This window comes from Homo sapiens, chromosome 6, assembly GCF_000001405.40.
Source record: "Homo sapiens chromosome 6, GRCh38.p14 Primary Assembly".
In the NCBI taxonomy this organism is placed as follows: Eukaryota; Metazoa; Chordata; class Mammalia; order Primates; family Hominidae; genus Homo; species Homo sapiens.
The window spans coordinates 44353515-44376795 of record NC_000006.12 but is presented as its reverse complement, the minus strand read 5'-3'; the positions used below and the strand labels follow the sequence as shown (position 1 = coordinate 44376795).

At 42.0% G+C, this 23281-nt stretch overlaps 1 protein-coding gene across 2 annotated transcripts in view, besides 1 other annotated feature; it reads right to left on the bottom strand.

Moving 5' to 3' along the window:
• SPATS1 (spermatogenesis associated serine rich 1) overlaps positions 1–23281 on the bottom strand; it is a 37530-nt gene that overhangs the window by 3384 nt on the left and 10865 nt on the right. For both annotated transcript variants that reach the window (NM_001372081.1, NM_145026.4), the window contains exons 4-8: positions 16226–16350; positions 14804–14965; positions 8297–8417; positions 6683–6745; positions 323–438 (exon numbers count right to left, since the gene is read on the bottom strand). In NM_001372081.1, the coding sequence (NP_001359010.1) occupies positions 323–438; positions 6683–6745; positions 8297–8417; positions 14804–14965; positions 16226–16350 (587 nt within the window). The remainder of the gene's footprint in view (positions 1–322; positions 439–6682; positions 6746–8296; positions 8418–14803; positions 14966–16225; positions 16351–23281) is intronic.
• Positions 14142–14311: an enhancer, noted in NCBI's record as "experimental_91950 CRE fragment used in MPRA reporter constructs". NCBI's record gives its function as "activates a minimal promoter by MPRAs in K562 erythroleukemia cells, with activity observed for both the introgressed and non-introgressed 6:44330307 variant alleles {active_cell/tissue: K562}" and the evidence as "EXISTENCE:reporter gene assay evidence [ECO:0000049][PMID:34662402]".

Below are 23281 nucleotides of genomic sequence, written 5' to 3'. Positions count from 1 at the left end.
AAAGTTTCGCTCTGTTGCCCAGGCTGGAGTGCAAGTGGCACAATCTCAGCTCACTGCAACCTCCACCTCCCAGGTTCAAGTGATTCTCCTGCCTCAGCCTCCTGAGTAGCTGGGATTACAGGCACGCGCCACCACACCCAGCTAATTTTTGTATTTTTAGTAGAGACGGGGTTTCACCATGTTGGTCAGGCTTGTCTTGAACTCCTGACCTTGTGATCTGCCCGCCTCGGCCTCCCAAAGTGCTGGGATTACAGGAGTGAGCCACCATACCCGGCGGACTCCTCCAGTTTTTACACTATTCTTTGAAGTTTCTTTAACCCACCAGAAAGGTGTAGCATGTGCATTAAGGGCACTGCTGGCTGCCAGTTGTCAAGCTCCTCAACCTCTTGTATCTCATTTTTCAAACTGTTGGCCTTCTCCTTCACCCAGAAAGGCAAGCTGTGGGAAGAAGACAACACCCTGAGTTGTAGTTTGATGCAAAATTTACAAACACCAACAGCGGATAAGAAATTATGTGCTCCAAAAGTAAAAAGACCTCCAATTTAGGAGACCAGCTTCAAAATAAAATATGTTAGTTGTTCACCGTTTGCTCCTGCCTCAAACCCTCTTGTTCAGCCCTTCTCTGCCAAGAGGCTGACCTTGCAGCTAGTATCACCTGGGCTCCTCTGTGCTTCCACATTTTTTTTTTTTGAAACAAAGTCTCACTCCATCGCCCAGGCTGGAATGCAGTGGCACAATCTCAGCTCACTGCAACCTCCGCCTCGCAGATTCAAGCAATTCTCCTGCCTCAGCCTCCCGAGTAGCTGGGACTATAGGCACATGCCACCACATCTGGCTAATTTTTGTATTTTTAGTAGAGACAGGGTTTCACCTTGTTGGTCAAGCTGGTATCGAATTTCCGACCTAAGGTGATCCACCTGCCTCGGCCTCCCAAAGTGCTGGGATTACAGTTGTGAGCCACTATACCCAGCCCATATTTTTTTGTTTGTTTTTTGAGACAGAGTCTCACTCTGTCGCCCAGGCTGGAGTGCGATCTCTGCTCACTGCAACCTCCGCCTCCCGGGTTCAGGTGACTCTCCTGCTTCAGCCTCCCAAGTAGCTGGGACTACAGGCACATGACACCACGCCCAGCTAATTTTTGTATTTTTAGTAGAGATGGGGCTTTACCATGTTGGTCAGGCTGGTCTTGAACTCCTGACTCCAAATGATCCTCCCACCTTGGCCTCCCAAAGTGCTGAGATTACAGGCATGAGCCACCATCCCCACCCGTGCTTCCACCTTTGAGCTGGGCTTGGCTGATGGCACCGATAGGAGATCAGAAGGTGGACAGAAATTAGGGCATTTCTTACCTAGTTCCTCCCCTGATGTCCTATCTCCCAAGGCACCCCAATTCTGGCAGTGCCACAGCTCCTGTTGGGCAGCCCTTCTCCCGGAGCTCCAGCGCTTACTGTTCTGCAAACTGTGATCCCTCTTCTTGCTGCTCAGACCCAAGAGTAGTAACGCTTCCCACTGTCATGAGCCTCTGGGTGCTTCACCCTCCCATGTGGGTTCCCCCAACCCTGCCCACACACCCATAAATAGTCCCTTTCCTTAAGCTGTCTTCAGAATCCCAGCTGAGTGTGCTTTCTGTTTTCTGCTGGGACCTTGGCTAATGCAGATACCCAGAGTCTTCCCAGAGCCACTGAGACCTGAAAGGACATTTCTGGGCTGCATGTGGTCCAATAGGTAGTAGGAAGTGTGACTCTGGGATGAGTTGGAGCAGGCAGATGCAAAATGTTTTCATCTTTTGGAAGCTAGAATTCTTGTGCTTTAGGGGAGAAATATACCACAATTGGCAAAATGCCCTGATAAAACTGCTGGGGGTAGGGAAGTCCCTGCAAGAACGAAGAGGACGGTTACCACATAGGTAATTGGTGAAAGTCAAAGTTATCACTTAAAGCCAACAAGCCAAATAGTAGAAACCCAAATAAGAAAAGCAGGACTAAGAGCAATGTATAAAGATACTAGCGTAAAGAACTACTAGAACAAAAACACGAGCATTTCTAAATATCAAAAGAAAGCATTTTTCAGCCTTTGTTGAAACAATCAAACACTGAAAGACTCACACTAAATGTAATACAGTACACCTAATAAATGTAACAAATAATGTAACAGAACTGAAATCAAATATATCAGTCTAATCAATAAATGCAAGTGGCCTAATTCACCTGAATTAAAGAAAATATTTTCAAGCTGGCTCACGAGCAGAATCCAATTCTACCCTAAAAGCAAAGTGCTTCAAAAGCAAAAGAATGGGCAAAAAGAATGGGCAAAGGTCAGATGCAAATAAAATAGAGAATTAGAACCTTAATAACTGGCTAGGTATACTTTAGGACAAAAAGTATTAAATGAGAAAAATAAAGATACTTTCATAATGCTAAAAGACACAATTAACAACAAAAATAGTCGAAATGCTAATATTCAGACACCTTAACTCTCACACTAACTCTCAGTCCAAACTAGGCCAAGTGAACAAAAGTAAGGAAATATAGGGGCTAAACAATATAACCAATAAAGTCAATCTTCTGTATATGTATCTAACTTTCCATCCTGATTAAGTGGAATACACTTTCTTTTCAAGCACATGTGGAAATCTAAAAATAAATATTAAGTGACCTAATATAGATGCATCCCATAATACTTTGTCCTTGGAAGATACATTAACTGCAATGCCTCATCTAGGACCCAGATCAAGTACCACCTCCTCTGCAACATGTCCTCAACTTCCCCCATGTCTTTCCTCTATGTACACATTGTACCATATTTGCTTTCAATTGTTTTATGATTACTCATCTAGTGGTCTCTCCCCACAATAGACAATGAGCCTTGAAACAAATATCATATCTTATTCATCTTTGTGATCCCTGCCTCCATTACCTCACCACCTTCCCATTTCTCCTGTAGATTAAGTGCATAAACGGTACTCAAAGGATGTCTGCTGAGTTGAATAAATAATCCCTGTAAACGTACTGCACATTATAGGGACCTTTTCAATAAGTAATCTTACCTCCCTAATTTTTATTCTAATTCTGGCTCTCTCTGTCACTAACTAGAGAAGACTTGGCAACTTTATCTGGTTCTGGTTATCAGGTTTTGTTCTTATTTTACAGGTGGATTGTTGCATTTGCAGATTTAACATTCTTAAATTTCCAAGCACAATTACTACACTATTTAAAGATATGAACAACTTTGATGACAGTAATGGAGCAGTACAAAACTGATTCATCAAATAACTTGGGAAAAAACCTACAATTTTTATTAATAGATGATAGATAATAACATTTCTATTCATAGATAATAATTCCAGCCATAATGAAGTAGCGGGGATCAGATTTACTCTCCTGACTTAAACAAGTAGAAAACTGGACAAAATGTATGAAATAACAATTTTCAGAATGAGACAACAGGCAGCACAGGATTGTGATCCTAAAGAAAAGGAAAGCAAATGAAGAGATTCCTGTAATCACCCAGCTTTGCCTGGAGGCACATTCAAGACCACAGCGTAGGATGAGCAACCCCACACAGAGCATGGCATTCTCTATGAGTTTGAGGAGCCGAAGATCCAAGTTCAGAGAGTCTTGGAGGACTGGAAGCTGCAGGGCAGAGTTCTGGGGAAGAAGGAACTTTACAAAAAAATGAAAGTAAGAAATTTACACAGCACTTCCTTTGAGTCTTTGCTGAATATTAAGACACACATGTGTAGGGTAGAACTCCAAAAGATCAGACAATAGAGTGACTGGGAACTGAATGGGCTCACAAAGGGCTAAAAATCATTTTAGTTCCCACCAACTAAAGTGAAGACTCCTCACTGATCACTCAAGGTATTCTGCAGAGACTCTAAAAGGGCCACATCTTACTTAGTAATGGAGTTAAACTATCCCTAAAGACTGCTTTAGACACGCCCTAACAAAGCTTGAAAACAAGCCTCAAACCAAACTGCAAGTGACTTAACTGCCTGCTACAGCAAAGACCAGCACTCTTTAAAAGAAGACCACAAGGCCTGTTGCGGTGGCTCACGCCTGTAATCCCAGCACTTTGGGAGCCCAAGGCAGGTGGATCACGAAGTCAAGAGATTGAAACCAGCCTGGTCAACATAGTGAAACCCTGTCTCTACTAAAAATACAAAAATTAGCTGGGTGTGGTGGCACGTGCCTGTAATCCCAGCCACTCGGGAGGCTGAGGCAGGAGAATCCCTTGAACCTAGGGGCGGAGGTTGCAGTGAGCCCAGATTGCGCCACTGCACTCCAGCCTGGTGACAAAGTGAGACTCCATCTAAAAAAACATAAATAAAATAAAAAATAAAATAAAATAAAAAAAGACAACAAAATCCAAATACTCAACAATATAAAATTATAATGTCCAGTATCCAAATAAAAATTACTAGACATACCAGGAAGCAGGAAAATGTGACCCATAATCAGGAGAAAAATCAGTCAGTAGAAACACACCCAGAAATGACACAAATAATAGAATTAGCAAACAAAAATCTTTTTTTTTTTTTTTTGAGATGGAGTCTCACTCTGTCGCCAGGCTGGAGTGCAGTGGCGTGATCTTGGCTCACTTCAACCTTTGCCTCCCGGGTTCAAGTGATTCTCCTGCCTCAGCCTCCCAAGTAGCTGGGACTACAGGTGCGCGCCACCACACCCAGATAATTTTTGTGCTTTTAGTAGAGACAGGGTCTCACCATGTTGGCCAGGATGGTCTTGATCTCTTGACCTCAATCTGCCTGCCTCGGCCTCCCAAAGTGCTGTGGTTACAGGAGTGAGCCATCATGCCCGGCTGCAAACAAAAATCTTTTTTTTTTTTTTTTTTGAGACGGAGTCTCGCTGTGTCGCCCAGGCTGGAGTGCAGTGGCACCATCTCAGCTCACTGCAAGCTCTGCCTCCCAGGTTCACGCCATTCTCCTGCCTCAGCCTCCCGAGTAGCTGGGACCACAGGCGCCTGCCACCACGCCCAGCTAATTTTTTGTATTTTTAGTAGAGACAGGGTTTCACTGTGTTAGCCAGGATGGTCTCAATCTCCTGACCTCGTGATCCGCCAGCCTCAGCCTCCCAAAGTGCTGGGATTACAGGCATGAGCCACCGCGCCCAGCCCACAAACAAAAATCTTTAAACAGCTATTACTATGTCCAAGTATTTAAGGAAAACATGAAAATAGGAAAGAACAACAGATATAAAAAAGAATCAAATAGAATTTCTAAAGATCGAAATACATAATCACTGGATAGGACTAACAGCAAACTAGACGCTACAGAACAAAATAGAGAATCTAGGAAACAATAAATGCTAAATCCAGCAACAGAAGCCTTTGTCACTTCTGCCATGACTAACTGGTTAGTAGACTTTTTCATTAGGGTGACTGTCCCTGAGGAAAGGGTCCAAGTCTCACAATTGTCTTATTGACCATAGCACAGAGGAATATGCTGATCGACTTCTCTCTCTTTTTTTTTTTTTTAATTTGAGACAGGGTTTTGCTCTATCACCTAGGCTGGAGTGCATAGCACAATCGTAGCTCACTGCAGCCTCGAACTCATAGACTCAAGAAACCCTCCTGCCTCAGCCTCCCAAGTACCTAGGACTACAGTTGCATACCACTATGCCTGGCTAATTTTTAAAAAAAATATTTTGTAGAGATAGGGTCTCACTATGTTGCCCATGCTGGTCTCAATCTCTTGGCTTCAAGCAGTCCCCCTGCCTTGGCCTCCCAAAGTGCTGGGATTATAGGTGTGAGCCACTGCACCCAGCTAGCTTTGTACTTCAAGAAAAAAAAAAAAAAAACCTTTCTTTTTAGGAAAACCAGACTAATTGGTATTCTGGGGTTTATACATGTAAAAACATATTTGCATATGAAAGGTAATGTACAAAAGCTAAAATAGTAGAGTGATGAAATGTAGGCAATTGCTATTATTTGGAATATTCTAGAATAGTGTTTATTAAAAATGTAAAGTACAGACATGAGAAGCCCTAATCGTGTGCCATAAGTAACAATGCAACATAATAAAGACATTAAAATCTCAAGTTTGGAATAAAAGGTTTTTATTCCCACTGAGCTCCAGAGTGGGTTAGACCCTGGGACACATGCCCACTCATAGGAGACTGTTTTGTATTAGAAAGTAAAAAAAGAAAGAAAGAAAAGAAAATATCTCTTTATAGGTCAGAAACCTGCTTAGGTAAATAAGTGAGGTTCAGAATGGAGTGAAGCAAAAGTATGAAATTAAAGGAATGATATTTCCCTCAAACACAGAAGTGCTCTGTTAGCTTTCTTTCTGCCTCTTGAAACTCTAACCATTCTCGCCAGTTGCAATCATTTAAGTATGTGTCTTTTTTTCCCAACATACTCATGTTCTAGGAATCAGGAACCCTGTCTTTTTGTTCCATGTGAACTCTCCTATAGTGCATGGCTAGCACAACACATGGCATCTGGTAGTTTGTCAATTACATCTGTTGAATATGTGACCATCCCAATTGCAGACTCTACAGAATGTCTATCCAAACACCTTCCTTACAAACTGCCCCACCCTCCTGCTGGGATTCAAAAGGGCCCTGTGTCCTGGTTATCTACCTGCTCCTCCACATAAGGAAACAATAAAATAATCGATATTTAATAAAGATGGGATAACACAAAACATGACAAGAGAACTCACTTGGGAATTTGTGGAAGAGGCTCAAGTGGAATAAATGTATCAAATTTCTTTTCATAAGGCACTCTGAAAAACAGAAAAGGCAATCATAAAACTGGTATGCCATCTACAGCAAAGAGATCAATACATCATTGTATTCAATAGAATGTCCTGTTTTCCGATTTTAATTTTCAAGTATTGACTTCAAAACTGTAAGAACCGCAGATTTTATTTTATTTTATTTTATTTTATTTTATGTATGTTTTGAGACAGGGTCTCACTCTGTCCCCAAGGCTGGAGTGCAGTGGCACAATCTCAGCTCACTGCAGCCTCGACCTTTCAGGCTCAGGTGATCCTCCCACCTCAGCCTCCCAAGTAGCTGGGATTATAGGCACACACCACCATGCCCAGCTAATTTTTTGTATTTTTGTAGAGAAGGGGTTTCTCCATGTTGCCCAGGTAGGTCTGGAACGCCTGGGCTGAAGCAATCCTCCAGCCTCAGCCTCCCAAAGTGCTAGGATTACAGGCATGAGCCACTGTGCCTGGCCCACAGATTTTATATTATTTTATTTTATTTTATTTATTTTGAGATGGAGTCTTAACTCTGTCGCCCAGGCTAGAGTGTGGCGCTGCAATCTCGGCTCACTGCAACCTCCATCACCCAGGTTCAAATAATTCTCCTTCCTCAGCCTCCTGAGTAGCTGAGATTACAAGCATCTGCCACCGTGCCCAGCTAATTTTTGTATTTTTAGTAGACACGGGATTTTACCATGTTGGCCAGGCTGGTCTTGAACTCCTGACCTCAGGCGATCCACCCCACCCCACCCTTGGCCTCTCAAAGGGCTGGGGTTACAGGCGTGAGCCACCGCGCCCGGCCCACAGATTTTAGTTTTGATCATTTTTAGTCAACATCATTATATCCCACATGGTTAATTTTTTAAAATAATATTTTAAATGTAGTACACCAACTACCCAGCACTTTGGGAGGCCAAGGCGGGCGGATCACGAGGTCAGGAGATCAAGACCATCCTGGCTAACATGGTGAAACCCCGTCTCTACTGAAAATACAAAAAATTACCCAGGTGTGGTGGCGGGCACCTGTAGTCCCAGCTACTCGGGAGGCTGAGGCAGGAGAATGGCATGAACCCAGGAGGCAGAGCTTGCAGTGAGCTGAGATGGCACCACTGCACTCCAGCCAGGGCGACGGAGCGAGACTCCGTCTCAAAAAAAAAAAAAAAATGTAATACACCAACTATTTTTCTTTTAATGTAATGATCCTCCCACTTTTCTCCATCACTTTGGTCTAAGTTTATTTCCAAGTTTAAGTCCACCCACATAGTAGTCACTATGGCCAACAATCTGATTCAGTATGAAAATTTAAAAGTTTTCAAATCTGTGATAATAGAGATAGGAACAAAATTAACAACCACTTTTTTGTAGTCCAAGTCCTGTGTGTAATTTTAATTATACACATGCATGTGTGCAGACATTAATTAACTAAAGATGAGCTTTTCAAGGAATTTTCATCCAATCACATCTTGTTGACATCTATCCCTTTTAAAATATAATTTCTGTGTAGTAGAGAGACACAATTCCTTTAAAGTTAACTATATAATGCTAGTATTAACATACACTTACATTGAAAAATTCACTGGTGGGAGCATTGATCCTGCTTTGTGGAAGCCTTTACTCTGTTCTGGGTACATATATGGATTGTCGCCTGGAGTTAACTTTGGGATTCCATTCCTGGGATCAATATCTGTGGAGAAGGTTTGAAAACAAAATCATACAAGGGCTGAAGATGATCCACAGATTTGCTGTAAGTATTGGCATGACAATGGAAAGAGGATATTTTAGTATTTTATTATAAATTACATAGAAGTTTCTCAAAGTTCTGTTTGTGATTATCTTGCCTTAAGGAGATGAGCCTATATTTGGGACATTTTCCAAAAAGTGTTGTTGTAACTACCTCACCCTGGAAAAGAATTGTTAGATTCAGATGGAGTGTTTTGGTTTAAAATATAAGGTGAATCAGAGGTTTCTTTGCAATGATCCAAAAATCTCTGACCTAAAAATCTCTTCATTCCTGAGCATTAGTGCACTTTGAATCCCTGAGTCTTAGGAAGCCGAAGAAACAAGTGTCCCTGGGGCTCTGCCTCTCTGACTGGGTCCAGGAAGGAAACCAACTAAGGATGTCTTGCTCCTTCTGCCTCAAGGACTGGGGCCATGCAGCAGTGGGAGGTGGCTTCCTGGAGAAGAGCAAGATTACTCAGCAGAGGTTCTTACACCCAGCTCAGCCCCTGCTAAAGCCCTGGGAACAAGAAACTAATCACGGGAGTGGAAGGCATCAGCCTAGTGTAGGGTGATCATTTAAACCCACACACCTAAAGTCCTTAAAATTGCCTATTTAAAAAATTAAAATTTAAAATAAATAAATCAACCCACACACTTACACCAGATGCATCTCCTAAGAGAATAAGCCTGGACTACGAGACTCATCACCCTTGGGCTCAGAAGCAGGGACACGTGGCTGGAAGCATGACCTCCATCTTTGCCACACACCCAGATTCTTCTAGCTAACTCGGAAAAGCCATCAGCGTGACAGGTGGAAGTTCTTGGGTTACCAGAGTATTTACTTTTTTGTCTTTCTCTTTCAAAAACCTTTTCAATAACTGACTGTATTACACTTTTGATTAGCTCTTCTGTGTGGTGAAATAACATCAACTGCACCCATGCATTGAGTGCCTGCTGGGTATGAGATGCTGAGGATTCAAAGCAGAGAGAGTGGAGGTTTAAAATATATACTGAATCCCCTTGAGGCCAGGAGTTCTAGACCAGCCTGGCCAACACAGTGAAACCCTGTCTCTACTAAAAATACAAAAATTAGCTGGGTGTGGTGGCACACGCCAGTAATCCCAGTTACTCGGGAGGCTGAGACAGGAGAATCGCTTAAACCCGGGAGACGGAGGTTGCAGTAAGCCGAGATCATGCCACTGCACTCCAGCCTGGGAAATAGAATGAGACTCTGTCTCAACAATTTAATCAATTAATTAAATATACAGTGCATCTGAAACCTTTTGCATACCAAACCAGGGCACTGACAAGTAAGAGTTGGGTGACAAGAGGTGGTGGGAAGAGTTTGGACTTTGGAGTCTGTCGCACCTGAGTTCATACTCACTCCTGCAATTTCTAGTTCTGTGCCCTTGAGCTATTTATTTAACCTTACTAAGCCTTTTTAACCTCATTTATAAACTGTTTATTTCAAATGGCTACTTTGCAGAGTTATCATGAATACTAAATAATAATGATGTGAGCATATAACAAGCACCCAAGAAATAGTAGCAATTATTATTATTTGAAATCAGAACTGGACTAATACCCCTCATCCCAATTATTTTTTAATCTGGAGGATACGATTGCTATATAGCTGAGGTATAAATTTCTCCCCAGGGAATCTTATCTAGATAGGGAGACATATGTAAAGACGAAGGTAACACTACAAAGCAGTAAATGCCATATACTATAGAACAGTGGTTCCAAAATTTTAGCACACCTGAAAATCACCTAGGAAACTTGTTTAAAATGCAGCCTTTAACCCAAGAAATTCTGTTTCAGAAGATCTCTAATAGTTCCCAGAACCAGTAATTTTTATAAACTTTCCAGTTGATTATGATATAGGTGGTCTAAGGAGAACACCTAGAAATAGACTATGGTGGCCAGGCGCAGTGGCTCATGCTTGTAATCCCAGCACTTTGGGAGGCCGAGGCAGGTGGATCACCTGACATCAGGAGTTCAAGACCAGCCTGATCAACATGGTGAAATCCCGTCTCCACTAAAAATACAAAATTAGCTGGGCATGGTGGCACATGCCTGTAATCCCAGCTACTCAGGAGGCTGAGGCAGGAGAATCGCTTGAACCTGGGAGGCAGAGATTGCAGTGAGCCGAGATCGCACCATTGCACTCCAGCCTGGGCAACAAGAGCGAAACTCTGTCTCAAAAAAAAAAAAAATATATATATATATATAGACTATGGTAAAAGATATCACAAGATAATGTCAGGAGGAAGAAAAAGAGGCAATGGTGTGATGTCAGTATAAGGTGTTACTTTTAGGGGGAAAATCTCCCAAACAACACTTCTGAGATAACATGTTTGTTTAAGCTATTAAGTACAATATGGGGCCTTGGTATAATTTCTGGATATCTCACCAAAACAGGTATCAGCCCAAAGGGCTGGCCACTATGTATCAATAGCTGATGGACCCATAACACTGCATGATCAGTTCTAATGCTTGTTTGTTTTTAGACAGACCATCCAATTTCCTGGATGTAGACATTCAGGAGGTAGAAAATGGGAAACATACATTTAGAGACAAATAACCATATAAGGGAGCGAACCGTTCACCAAATAACTTACTCTGCCCCACATTTCAGTGCCCCGATGCGTTTAGGTAGAGCCATGTTCTGACTGATAGATTGTGAGCAGAGATGATATGTGCCACTTTAAAAAGAAGCATTTAAGGAGCTGATGTGAAAAACCTTCCAGCATTTTCTCTTTACCCTTCTATGGCAATCTTAGAAGCCACAGGTTGAGATGGAAAGGTCACAGATAAAAGCAGACAGCATCCTTGGAAAGGAGCTGTCCTGGAGAGCTGCTGGATCCACAGTGGACTTTACAAGAGAAAGGAGCAAACTTTAGTGCTTAAGCTGCAGAGATTTCAGGGACTGTTACTGCGGCAGAATCTATCCTATTCTGACTAATACAATATGCTGTACTGTGGGAAGAGCTACACAATAGAAAATTGTATTTTCAGATCTATTTCCCTACCACCTACAATCATAGATGGCATTTTGTTCTGTGGCAACAGCTAGGCCTTTAGGGAACTCCACCAATATCCTGGTTATGGCTGATGGATAACAGTCAACCATTATTTAAAGATATTTTGATTGATTTTTTGATATAATAATGCGTTGCATTCCAGTTTAAAATGGCAGCTGGTTGGCAGTCCCTGAGCCTACCACTTCATCTCATCCAAGAAATAATGAGTGGGGGCCAGGAGTGGTGGCTCACACCTGTAATCCCAGCACTTTGGGAGGCCGAGGCGGGTGGATCATCTGAGGTCAGGAGTTGGAGACCAGCCTGGCCAACATGGTGAAACCCTGTCTCTACTAAAAGACAAGAATTAGCCGGCAGTGGTGGCACATGCCTGTAATCCCAGGAGGCTGAGACATGAGAATTGCTTGAACTCAGTGGGCGGAGGTTGCAGTGAGCCAAGGTCACGCTACTGCACTCCAGCCTGGGTGACAGAGCGAGACTCTGTCTAAAAAAAAAAGAAAGAAAGAAAGAAAGAGAAAAGAAAAGAAGAAAAAGAAAAAGAAAGAAAGAAAGACAGAAAGAAAAAAAGAAAGAAAGAAAAGAAAGAAAGAGTGGGGAGAGAATTTCACAAAGGAAGAAGTATCCAGTGTCAAGCTTGACAGTATCAAGTGCTGCAGTGAGATCAAGGAAGAGAAGAAATGGAAAAAGACCATTGCGTTTGATGTTTAAAGAAGTCACTGTACATCACCTAAGAAGTAATCATATACTAAAACGAATCAAGCCTGTAGACCCAACTACCACTTCACAGGAAATACACAGGAAAGAGGAACCTGTTAAATGATACCAAGCAATGTAATCAGCAAAGTCCTGATCATGGTGAATACTGCAGGATAAGGCCTAGTTTCTTCACCATACAAATTGCAAGAAAAAAGGAGGGAGAAAGAAACTTAACAGACATACCAACCAATTTCAATCTGTGGGCCTTACTTGGATCCTGATCCAAACAAACTAAATATTTTTAAATTGTGGCATTTATGAGACAATGGGATATTTGGACACTGACTATATTAAGGAATTACTGTTAATTTTTAAAATATGATATTATGATATGGAATTGTGGTTATGTTAATAAAATAATCCTTATCTATCAGAGGCACATATGATATATTTAGAGATGAAATAATATGATGTCTGAAATTTGCTTTGAAATAATCCCTGGGAGGAGGAGTAATGATGAAACAAGTTAGCCAGGTGTTGATCATTATTGAAGCTAAGTGGATGAGTACATCGGGTTTCATTTTGCTATTGTTTGAAAATTTACCTAATAAGTTTTTCTTTAAAAAAATATGAAATATGGGTTACCACTGGAGTTGGAGGAGGAAAGATGGAATATTCGGGGAAGAGGATATTGGAGCCTTCAAATATAAAGTTAGAATTTTATTTCTTAAGTGGAGTAAAAGAACGCAAGTATTTGTGATATTTCATTTTATATAGTCAACAAATGTTTCATAAATATATCATTGCATTTACTCAGTATTTATAAAACCCTAAAGGAAGAAGGGAAAGAAGAAATGAAAGGATGGAGAGAGGGAGGGAGGAAAGGAAAAAGGAAGGAAGGAGGGAAGGAAGGAAGGAGGGAAGGAGGGAAGGAAGGAAGGAGGGAAGGAGGGAAGGAAGGAAGGAAAGAAAGAAAAAGAAGAGGAAAGGAGAAGAAAGAAAAAGAAAGGAAAGGAGAGGGAAGAATCATAAACATAAAATTCAGGATAAGGTGGTTTACTTTTGAGCCAGGAGGGCAGTGATAAGTCAAGATTGAGATTTAGGTCATTATGATAATCCCATTTACTTTTGATAGGTACTTGCAGCTCAAGAGTGCAGGGTAGGCTGGCTGCAGTGGCTCACACCTGTAATACCAGCACTTTGAGAGGCCAAGGCCGGCTAATCGCTTGGGCCCAGGAGTTTGAGACTGGCCTGGGCAACATGGAGAAACCCTGTCTCTACTAAAAATAGAAAAATCAGCCGGGCATGGTGGCACATGCCTCTAGTCCCAGCAACTTAGAGGCTGAGGTTAGAGGATTGCTTGAGCCTGGGGCTGGGGGGCTGGCATTCGGAACTGCAGTGAGCCAAGATGGTGGCACTGCACTCCAGCCTGGGCCACAGAGCAAGACCTTGTCTTAAAAAAAAAAAAAGTGCTGGGCACGGTGGCTTACGCCTGTAATCCCAGCACTTTGGGAGGCCGAGGCAGGCGAATCACCTGAGGTCCGGAGTTCGAGACCAGCCTGACCAACATGGAGAAATCCGTCTCTACTAAAAATACAAAATTAACCGGGTGTGGTGGTGCATGCCTATAATCCCATCTACTCCGGAGGCTGAGGCAGGCGAATGGCTTGAACCCGGGAGGCGGAGGTTGCTGTGAGCCAAGATCGCGCCATTGCACTCCAGCCTGGGCAACAAGAGCGAAACTCCGTCTCAAAAAAAAAAAAAGTGCAAGGTGCAGGACTCCTCACGGATTTCCATATCAATGACCACTCTCCCAGCTCATTTAGTATGGCTTTCTACGTATTTTTCTACCCAAATAAATAAAAGCCTCAATTCTCAAAACTATTTGTCTCTGTTGTGAGTTTAAGTCTATTTTAAAACTCAAAAATGAGAACAGTCTACTTCTTTCTCTTTGTATTCCTGCTACAGCAATCCTATTTATTTCTGGAGCAATGGTTGCCTCCTACACAGAGATTTATATAGAAAAATGTGTCATAAATGGTCAGTTGGTACTCAGCAACTTTTGAGGGTCTTTCGGTAAGTCTATTATGAGTAGGTTGGGGCAAAGAACTCACTGAGCTACAAACCAAGGAGATATAGATACACAGGTAGATATATATTCATTTCAATAGCCTTTAATTAAATCAGCAATAAAATAAAAACATGCACTTCAGGCTGAGGTTTATGGGATGTTTTCCTTGTGGAGAATATAAAGTACAATTTAAATGTGTATGCCAGGCAGCATCTAATTGGAACATAAATTCTTTTCTTCAGACTTCAATGGAGGTTTCTATTAATAAGTATCTGAGAGAACTTATCTGATGACTTAAATGTCACATTTGCATTTTATGAAATTCAGAGAAAAAAGAAAATGTGGATTAGCATCTGCTGTGAGCTCTTTGCCAAAACGTGCAGCCTGCAAACTGTCCCCTTCACTTTTCTGTCTTCCTGGCTGCACTAGGGGAACATGGTGACTCTACAGGGCTGCCCCCAGCTACAGAATGCAGGGCCTATAGAATCACGACTCGAGAGTTTTTCGGGGACTGCACAGTCAAGACCCAGAAGGAAACATCACCGTATTTCTTTCTCCCAAAGCACTTGTCCACCGTCCTCTCTGATAGAGACCTCTTGTTGCCGAGGAAGACTCCATTAAAGAAGCACTGCTTTCCGACGTGGTAGGTGTGGATGTTGCTGCTAAACCTTGGGTAAAATGTCCACTCAGGACGATGCCCATCTTCTGCAATACACCAGAAAGCCTTCCATTAGCACTGTTCCCAGCCTCATAATGCAACTGGATGACAAAAAGCTGTGAAAACTCCACAGGCACTATCTGGCTATATAACTTTAATTAATGTGTATAATCCCTTGGTTCTACATCAGAGACAGTGTGAAACTCTGTGGGACTAGACACAAAAGGAAGGGAAGTCAGGGGAGAGCTATCTAAGAGGCCGTCTTTGTTTTTGTTTGCCCTCTTCACCCTCTCCTTCAAAAATAAAGCCAACTTTATGTTTGGAAGTTAAGTATTGATTGGGAAGCTCAGAGACAGTCTTACAAGTACCTGTGATACAATCTTCACTCTGATAACGGTGTAGGAAAAATAGAATGCCATCAACCAGCAAATGGCTAGGCCAGTGCCATCCACATGGCACCTCAAGTGGAGGAAACATGGTGTTGGCTGCAACAATAGCACGCGCATGTGCTACGGTGACACCGGGAAATGGACCTGTGATAATTTCAAATGAGAAAAGCTGTCGTGAGACCCCAGGCTAGTTTCTGGACCTTGCAGTGCCTTTGTTTCATCATCTGATACTTTTCCTGTAAGATGGCTAACAGTGACTTTAAACAATAAAAGATCCCCTAGTAGCTCTAGGGGTGCTTGAGAAATGTGGGCTCTGGGATATCCAAGAAGAGCACAGGCTTCGAGGCAAGCAAGTGTGGGTTCTGATCCCATTGCTCTACTTCCTGGCCATGTGGCTTTATGGATGACTGAATGTCTCAAAGCCTCAGTTTCCTCCTTTGTAAAATGGGTATGTCTATATTAACCATATAGATCTATATGTATTGACACAGAAAGAGGTCCATGATCTATTTATACCAGTTTGTATACTAACCCATTTATTTTATATCTATATATGTACACGTGTATGTATACACACACACATACATTTCAAAATATTGGAAAAATATATATCGACTCTTCACAGCTATGGGGCAGAATAGGGATATTGTTGAAAAATATTGGGGAAGGAGTTTTTATACTCTATATACTTCTATATTATTTTAATGTCTTTCTGCAGTATTTTAATGGGTTTTATATAAAGGCATTTTATTTTTGAAAAACATATAATGGCTTCCTGGCAGAGGTTTTGTGAATTTTGAGATAAAGTACATCAAATGCTTGACAGTTGTGGGCCTTCGATGAGGGTGGCCAACAGTATGGCAGACTTCTGAAAAGACCTGGGGCACAGAAGCATGTGGAGGAGGGTCTGTGACTTACTCGTCTGCAACTTAAGCAGGCTGAATTCCTCAGGATATTTATCCTTTTGGACTTCAGGCAACGACATTTCAGAGGAGTGATCAGAATGTGAGAAGGAGAGTTTCCGATCCAAGTCAGCAGTGGTGCTGGAAAGAAAGCAGAAGGATTCTTCCACGTGCTTAAACTGGTAGTTACAGCCTGATCTCACATAGTTTACCCTAGAATTGCCCTCGCTTATGAGAACTGGGACTACTCCTCTATAAAAGTCCTTGAGCATATCATTTATTTACTCATAATTTGAGGGGACTGAAACTTATTGAAAAGATGGGTATTCAGTGGCACACGCCTGTAATCCCAAAACCTTGGGAGGCTGAGACAGGTGGATCACTTGAGGCCAGGAGTTTGAGACCAGACTGGACAGCATAGTGAGATCCCGTCTTTACTAATTTTTTTAAGTGTTTAAAAATAATTTGGTGGTTCCTCAAAAAGTTGAACACAGAATTACCATAAGACTCAGTAATTCTGTTTCTAGGTGTATACCTAAAAGAACTGACAACAGAGATTCAAACAGATACTTGCATGTGAATGTTCTTTGCAGCATTATTCACAACAGCCAAAAAGTGGAAACGACCCAAGTGTCCATCAAGAGAAGAATGGATAAGCAAAATGTGGTACATAACACATACAATGGAATATTATTCAGCCTTAAAAAGGAATGAAGTGGCTGGGCATGGTGGCTTATGCCTGTAATCCCAACACTTTGGAACGCTGAGGCAGGTGGATCACTTGAGCTCAGGAGTTCAAGACCAGCCTGGGCAACATGGAGACACCCCATCACTACCAAAAATACAAAAATTAGCCAGGCATGGTAGTGCATGCCTGTAATCCCAGCTACTCAGGAGGCTGAGGCAGGAGAATTGCTTAAACTCAGGAAGTGGAGGCTGCAGAGATCTCGCCACTGCACTCCAGCCTGGGCAACAAAGTGAGATCCTGTCTCAAAAAAATAAGAAAAAAATAAAGGAATGATGTAGTGATGCATGCTACAACATGGTGAGCCTTGAAAACATTATGCTAAGTAAAATAAGCCAGACACAAAAGGACATATTATGTGATTCCACTTATATGAAATATCTAGAATAGGTAACTTCATAGAAAGTAGATTACAGGTTACCAGGGGCTGGGGAGAGGGGAGAATGGCAAGTTATTGCTATGGTCATAGAGTTTCTGTTTGGACTGATGAAAATGTCTGAAAATAGACAATGGTGATGGTTACACAACATTATGACTGCAATTAATGCCACTGAATTGTACACTTAAAAATGCATAAAATCAGGCAGGCGCAGTGGCTCATGCCTATAATCTTAGTATTTCGGGATGCCAAGGTAGGAGGATCACTTAAGCCCAGGTGTTTGAGACCAGCCTGGGCAAAATAGTGAGACCTCATCTCCACAAAAAAATTTTTAATTAGCCAGGTGTGGTGGTGCACACCTGTAGTTCTAGCTACTTGGGAGGCTGAGGTGGAAGGATCACTCCACCTCATTCCAGCCTCCAGGAAGTGGAGGCTGCAGTGAGCAGTGACTATGCCACTGCACTCCAGCCTGGGCTACAGAGTGAAATCCCATTTCTTTAAAAAACATTTTTTAATGGATAAAATGGCAAATGTTGTGCCATATATATTTTACTACAATTTTTAGAAAGGAATGATATATATTACAACATGTATGCACCTTGAAAGCATTGTGCTAAGTGAAAGAAGCCAGACACCAAAGACCACATATTGATAATCCTATTAATATTACATGTCTGAAATAGGCAAATCTATACAGACAAAAGTAGATTAATGGTTGTCTCAGACTAGAGGGATAGGAAGATGGGGCTGCAGGGGGATGATTGCTAAAGGGTATGGATTTCTTTTTGTGGTGATGAAAATGTTCTAAAATTGATTGTGGTGATAGTTGCACAACTTTATGAATACACTAAAAACCATCGAGTTGTGTGCACAGTTTAAGTGGGTGACTTTTAAGGTATGTGAATTATGTTTAAATAAATCTGTTACCAAAAAAAGCATGTTTAATAAAACCATTAAATGCAAATAAAAAATCAATAAGTATGTAAAGAAGACGAAGAAATAATCAAAAACAAACCTAGGCTGAAATGATTACAATAATAGAGCATTATGTTTAGCGCTGAACTTCCTAGCAGTTTATAAAGGCCCACAACAAACTATTATAGGTGTCAGCTGAAAATGCAATCACTTCTGGTTTAAATGGCTTTGCGTCTGAAACCTGGCCTTGGACAATGTTTTCAGGTACAATGATCTGTTATCAAGTCACAGGATCTTTTTTCATAACAATGCGTCACTCATATTTAAATGGCATCAAAGCAACTTCATATTGCTTGTCTTGTTTGCTCCCTACTAACAATCCTGTGATGTAGGTAGGACCAATAACTCAGTGCCCCCACCCCTGATTCAGAATATAAGCAATTTTGGAGGTGTGTTAGTTTCCATGACAAGAGTATAGCTGGGGACAACTGGAATTGGGGTTCAATGTCTCAGAACTGTCACTCTCCTCTGCTTATCCTGACACCTTGGCTTCCTTTCTGCCAATTGCAGATGAGCTTCTTCACAAGAGCAAAAAGGCCACTGACAGACCAGATTCAAATTCTCATGTCTTCCAACCAATTTTTACCCGTATCTCCAATGTGAAAAATCTCAGGGAAGGACTCACTGGCTCAGCTCAGATCACACGTTCTCCCTTAAATCAATCACTATCAAGAAGTGGAGATAAGTAAGATGATGGTAGCTCCTATTCAGAATACTCATTAAAACTGGGTAGGCAGGAGTTCGAGACCAGCCGGGGAAACATAGCAAGATCTTGTGTTAAAATGTTTAAAAACTGCATAGGGAAGGGCTGGGCACAGTGGCTCATGCCTGTAATCCCAACACTTTGGGAGGCTGAGGGGGGTGGATCACCTGAGGTCAGGAGTTCAAGACCAGCCTGGCCAACATAGTGAAACCCCATCTCTACTGAAAATACAAAATTAGCCAGGTGTGGTGGCATGCACCTGTAATCCCAGCTATTCAGGGAGCTGAGGAGGGGGAATCACTTGAACCCAGGAGGCCAAGGTTCCAGTGAGCCGAGATGGCGCCAATGGACTCCAGCTGGGACAACAGGAGCGAAACTCTATCTAAAAAAACAAACAAACAAACAAACAAAAACTGGGTAAGGAAGGAGTGAAAATCAATTCCCCAGAAAAAGGAGAATAGCATAGACGACGCCACTGGAAAGTCAGTGGAAGCCAAGCAGCTTCTACAATATGTGAACACAGCAAGGCATTGGAGGAAGCCACTTCAAGCAAAGGAGGCAATGTGAGCAAAGGCATAGAAGGAAGAAACATCAGGGAAATGAAGAAATTTGATGTGGTTGTGGCAGGAGTTTTTGAGATAAAGGTGGAGAAGAGAAGGAGACAGATCTGGAGGACTTGCAGTTCATATGAAGGGGGACTCTTTTTTATCAAGCTTTAATGGAATATCATTAAATAATGGTAAGCAACGACATGACATGGTCACATGTGGTTAGAAAACTCTGGAAGCTGTGAAAGGAATGGGCTTTGAGAATATAAAATTTAAGTCAGGGAGTCCACTTAGGAGAGTGTAGCAGGCAGCCTCTGACATGGCTGCCAGTGATCCCTGACTCTTGGTATTTATTCCCTCCTGTAATCTTCTCTCTTTGAGTATAGGCTAGACCTACTGACTCACTTTCAACAAAGAGAAAACAGCAAATGTTATGGGATGTCACTTCCCACATTAGGTTACAAAGAGACTGTGGCTTTGTCTTATGTGCACTCCTGCTTGCTTGTAAGGAGAGACAGCTGCTATGTTGTGGGATGCCCTCTGTAGAGACAAGGAACTGAGGGAAGCCTGTGGGCAACAGCCAGTGGGGAACTGAACTCTCAGCCCCAGCAGCCTGTGAGGAAGTGAATCCTGCTATCAACCATATGAGTGAGCTTGGAAGTGGATCCTCCCACAGTTGAGCCTTCAGATGAGCCCACAGCTGTGGCCAACACCTCGATTGCAATCTTGTGAGAGAGACCTTGAGCCAGAGGCACCGATCTAGGTTATACTCAGTTTCCTGACCTGTAGAAAATGTGAGATAATAAATGTTTGTTGTTTTAAGTAACTAAGTTAGGGTGATTAGTTGTGTACCAATAAATAACTAATCTAGAAGGTATTACAGTGGTCCAGGTAAGAGATGATCAGGGCCTTGAGTGGGACCATGGTAATATAGATGGAGTAGAAGAGATGGACTTATACGGTGTTTCAGGGCTTGATCCCCCATTGGATGAGCGGCAGGAGACAAGTATGATCTGTCAATCTATACCTTTGGAGCTGTATGAATACTGAGATTATCAACTGAGACAAGGAACACAGAAGGATTTGGTTTGTAAGGATGGGTGATGAGAAGTTCAGTCAAGGCATGTTGAGTTTGGGGGCCTGTGGGACTTCAGGTGGAGATATCTGGAAAGCAGTTCAATATATCAATCTAAAGCCTGAGGCTATGTCTAGAGTGGAGCTTTAGATTCGGCTACACATGCTTTGACTGAGTTAGGTCCTCCGTAACCCAGGCATCATGAAAGATAAAGGGGACTTATTTAGGTGGGAATTAGGAATGTAGAAGTGGCAGCAATCACGCAGTTCCCCATCCTACAGGATGTGAACCTCACATTCCGGGCTTTCTTTCCCTCCCAATACATGGTCCCACTACTGCTGCTAGTGATATACACCTGTTGCAGAGGACCTAAAGAGGCAGAGCTTAAGAATTATGCCAGCCTCTTCCATGTCTAGTGCTGGGGGCAGCAAGTCCACTTGGAGCAGATTTTGTGATATAAAGAATCACTTGAGCAACTTCCCTTAACTTTAACTGAATAAATCCATTTCTAGGAATTTACTTTTATGATATAACCAGAGATGGGCAAAAGCTGAATGTACAGGGACACGCATTACAGCACTATTTACAATAGCAACTCTTTAAAACTATAGGTCACTGGTTAGATTGTGGTCTATTCATCTGACACTCAAGCACCGCAGTCATTGAAAACCATGTTCTTGAAAAACACTCAAAGGTATGAGAAAATTCTCTCCACATATTGCTCAGTGGAAAAGCTGCCTTTATAAGATGTCCTTCAGTAAGTGAATGAATAAATAAACTATGGTACATCCAGACAATGGAATATTCTTCAGCAATGAAAAAATGAGCTATTAAGTGGTGAAATGACATGAAGGCAACTTAAATGCATATTATTGAGGGAAGCCAATCTGAAAAGGGTATATACTATACGATTCCAACTATATGTCATTCTGGAAAGGAAAAAACTATGGAGACAGTAAAAATATCTGCGGTTGCCAGGGGGTGGGAGGGGTGGGAAGGGATGAATAGATGGAACACACAGGATTTTTTAGGACAGTGAAACCATAATGTGCTGGGAGCAGTGGCTCATGCCCAGCACTTTGTGAGGCTGCAGCAGGTGGATCACTTGAGTCCAGGAGTTTGAAACTGGCCTGGGTAGCATAGTAAGATCCTGTCTCTACAAAAAAAATACATTTACAAATTAGTTGGGCATGGTTGCACACATCTGTGGTCCCAGCTACTCAGGAGGCTGAGGCAGGAGGATTGCTTCAGCCTGGGAGGTCAGGGCTGCAGTGAGTCATGATCATGCCACTGCCTGGGTGACAGAACAAGATCCTGTCTCAAAAATAAATAAATAAATAAAAATAGAGAAGCTACTACAATGATGGATACATGCCATTATACATTTGTCCAAACCCATAGACTGTGCAACACCAAGAGTGAGCCCTATTGTAAACTAGGGGCTTTGGGTGATTATGATGTATCCATGTAGGTTCATCCATGGTAATAAATGTCCCACTCTGGTGCAGGATGTGATAGTGGGGGAGGCTGTACATGTGTTGGGGCAGGGAGTACATAGGAACTTTGTACCTTACTGTTAATTTTTCTGTGTACCCAAAACTGCTCTAAAAATAGTAAAACCCTTAATAAATCTTTTTAAAAAGTAGGTTTTACAAAAGAGTAATATAATATGATCTTAATTGTAAAATAAATATATATTTTATGTGCAAAAAATATGTTTACTTGCACATATAAAAAACTAATATCAAAATGTTAACATATTCTCTAAGATGTGAAATTATAGTGACATTTATTTATTTATTTATTTATTTATTTATTTATTTATTTTGACACAAGTTCTCACTCTGTCGCCTAGGCTGGAGTGCAACGGCTCGATCATGGCTCACTGCAGCCTGGAACTCCTGGGCTCAACTGATCTTCCCAACTCAGCCTCCTGAATAGCCAGGATTACAGGTGCACACCCCCAGGCCCGGCTAATTTTTGTATTTTTTTGTAGAGTGGAGTCTCACTGTGTTGCCCTGGCTGGCCTCGAACTCCTGGCCTCAACCTCCCAAAGTGCTGGGATTATAGGTGTGAGCCACCATGCCCAGCCATGTGACTTTTTTTTGTTTTTTTTTTTTTTTTGAGGCGAAGTCTCGCTCTGTCGCCCAGGCTGGAGTGCAGTGGCGCGATCTCGGCTCACTGCAAGCTCCGCCTTCCTAGGTTCACGCCATTCTCCTGCCTCAGCCTCCCGAATAGCTGGGACTACTGGCACCCACCACCACACCTGGCTAATTTTTTGTATTTTTAGTAGAGTTGGGGTTTCACCATGTTAGCCAGGATGGTCTTGATCTCCTGACCTCGTGATCCACCAGCCTCGGCCTCCCAAAGTGCTGGGATTACAGGCGTGAGCCACCTTGCCCGGCTGTGACTTTTATTTTCAATACTGTCTTCATCTGTTCAAATTTTCTACAATAAACTTAAATTACTTCCATTGTAACAAAAATTATTAGAAAAGCATTTTCAAAACTTTTTATTGTAAAAGAAATATAAACAGGGAAAGTACATAAAACACAAAGTCAATTTTACAACTAATTACAAAGCCAACATCCTGGTCAAGAAACAAAACGTTAGCCCGGCCCAGTGACTCACACCTGTAATCCCAGCA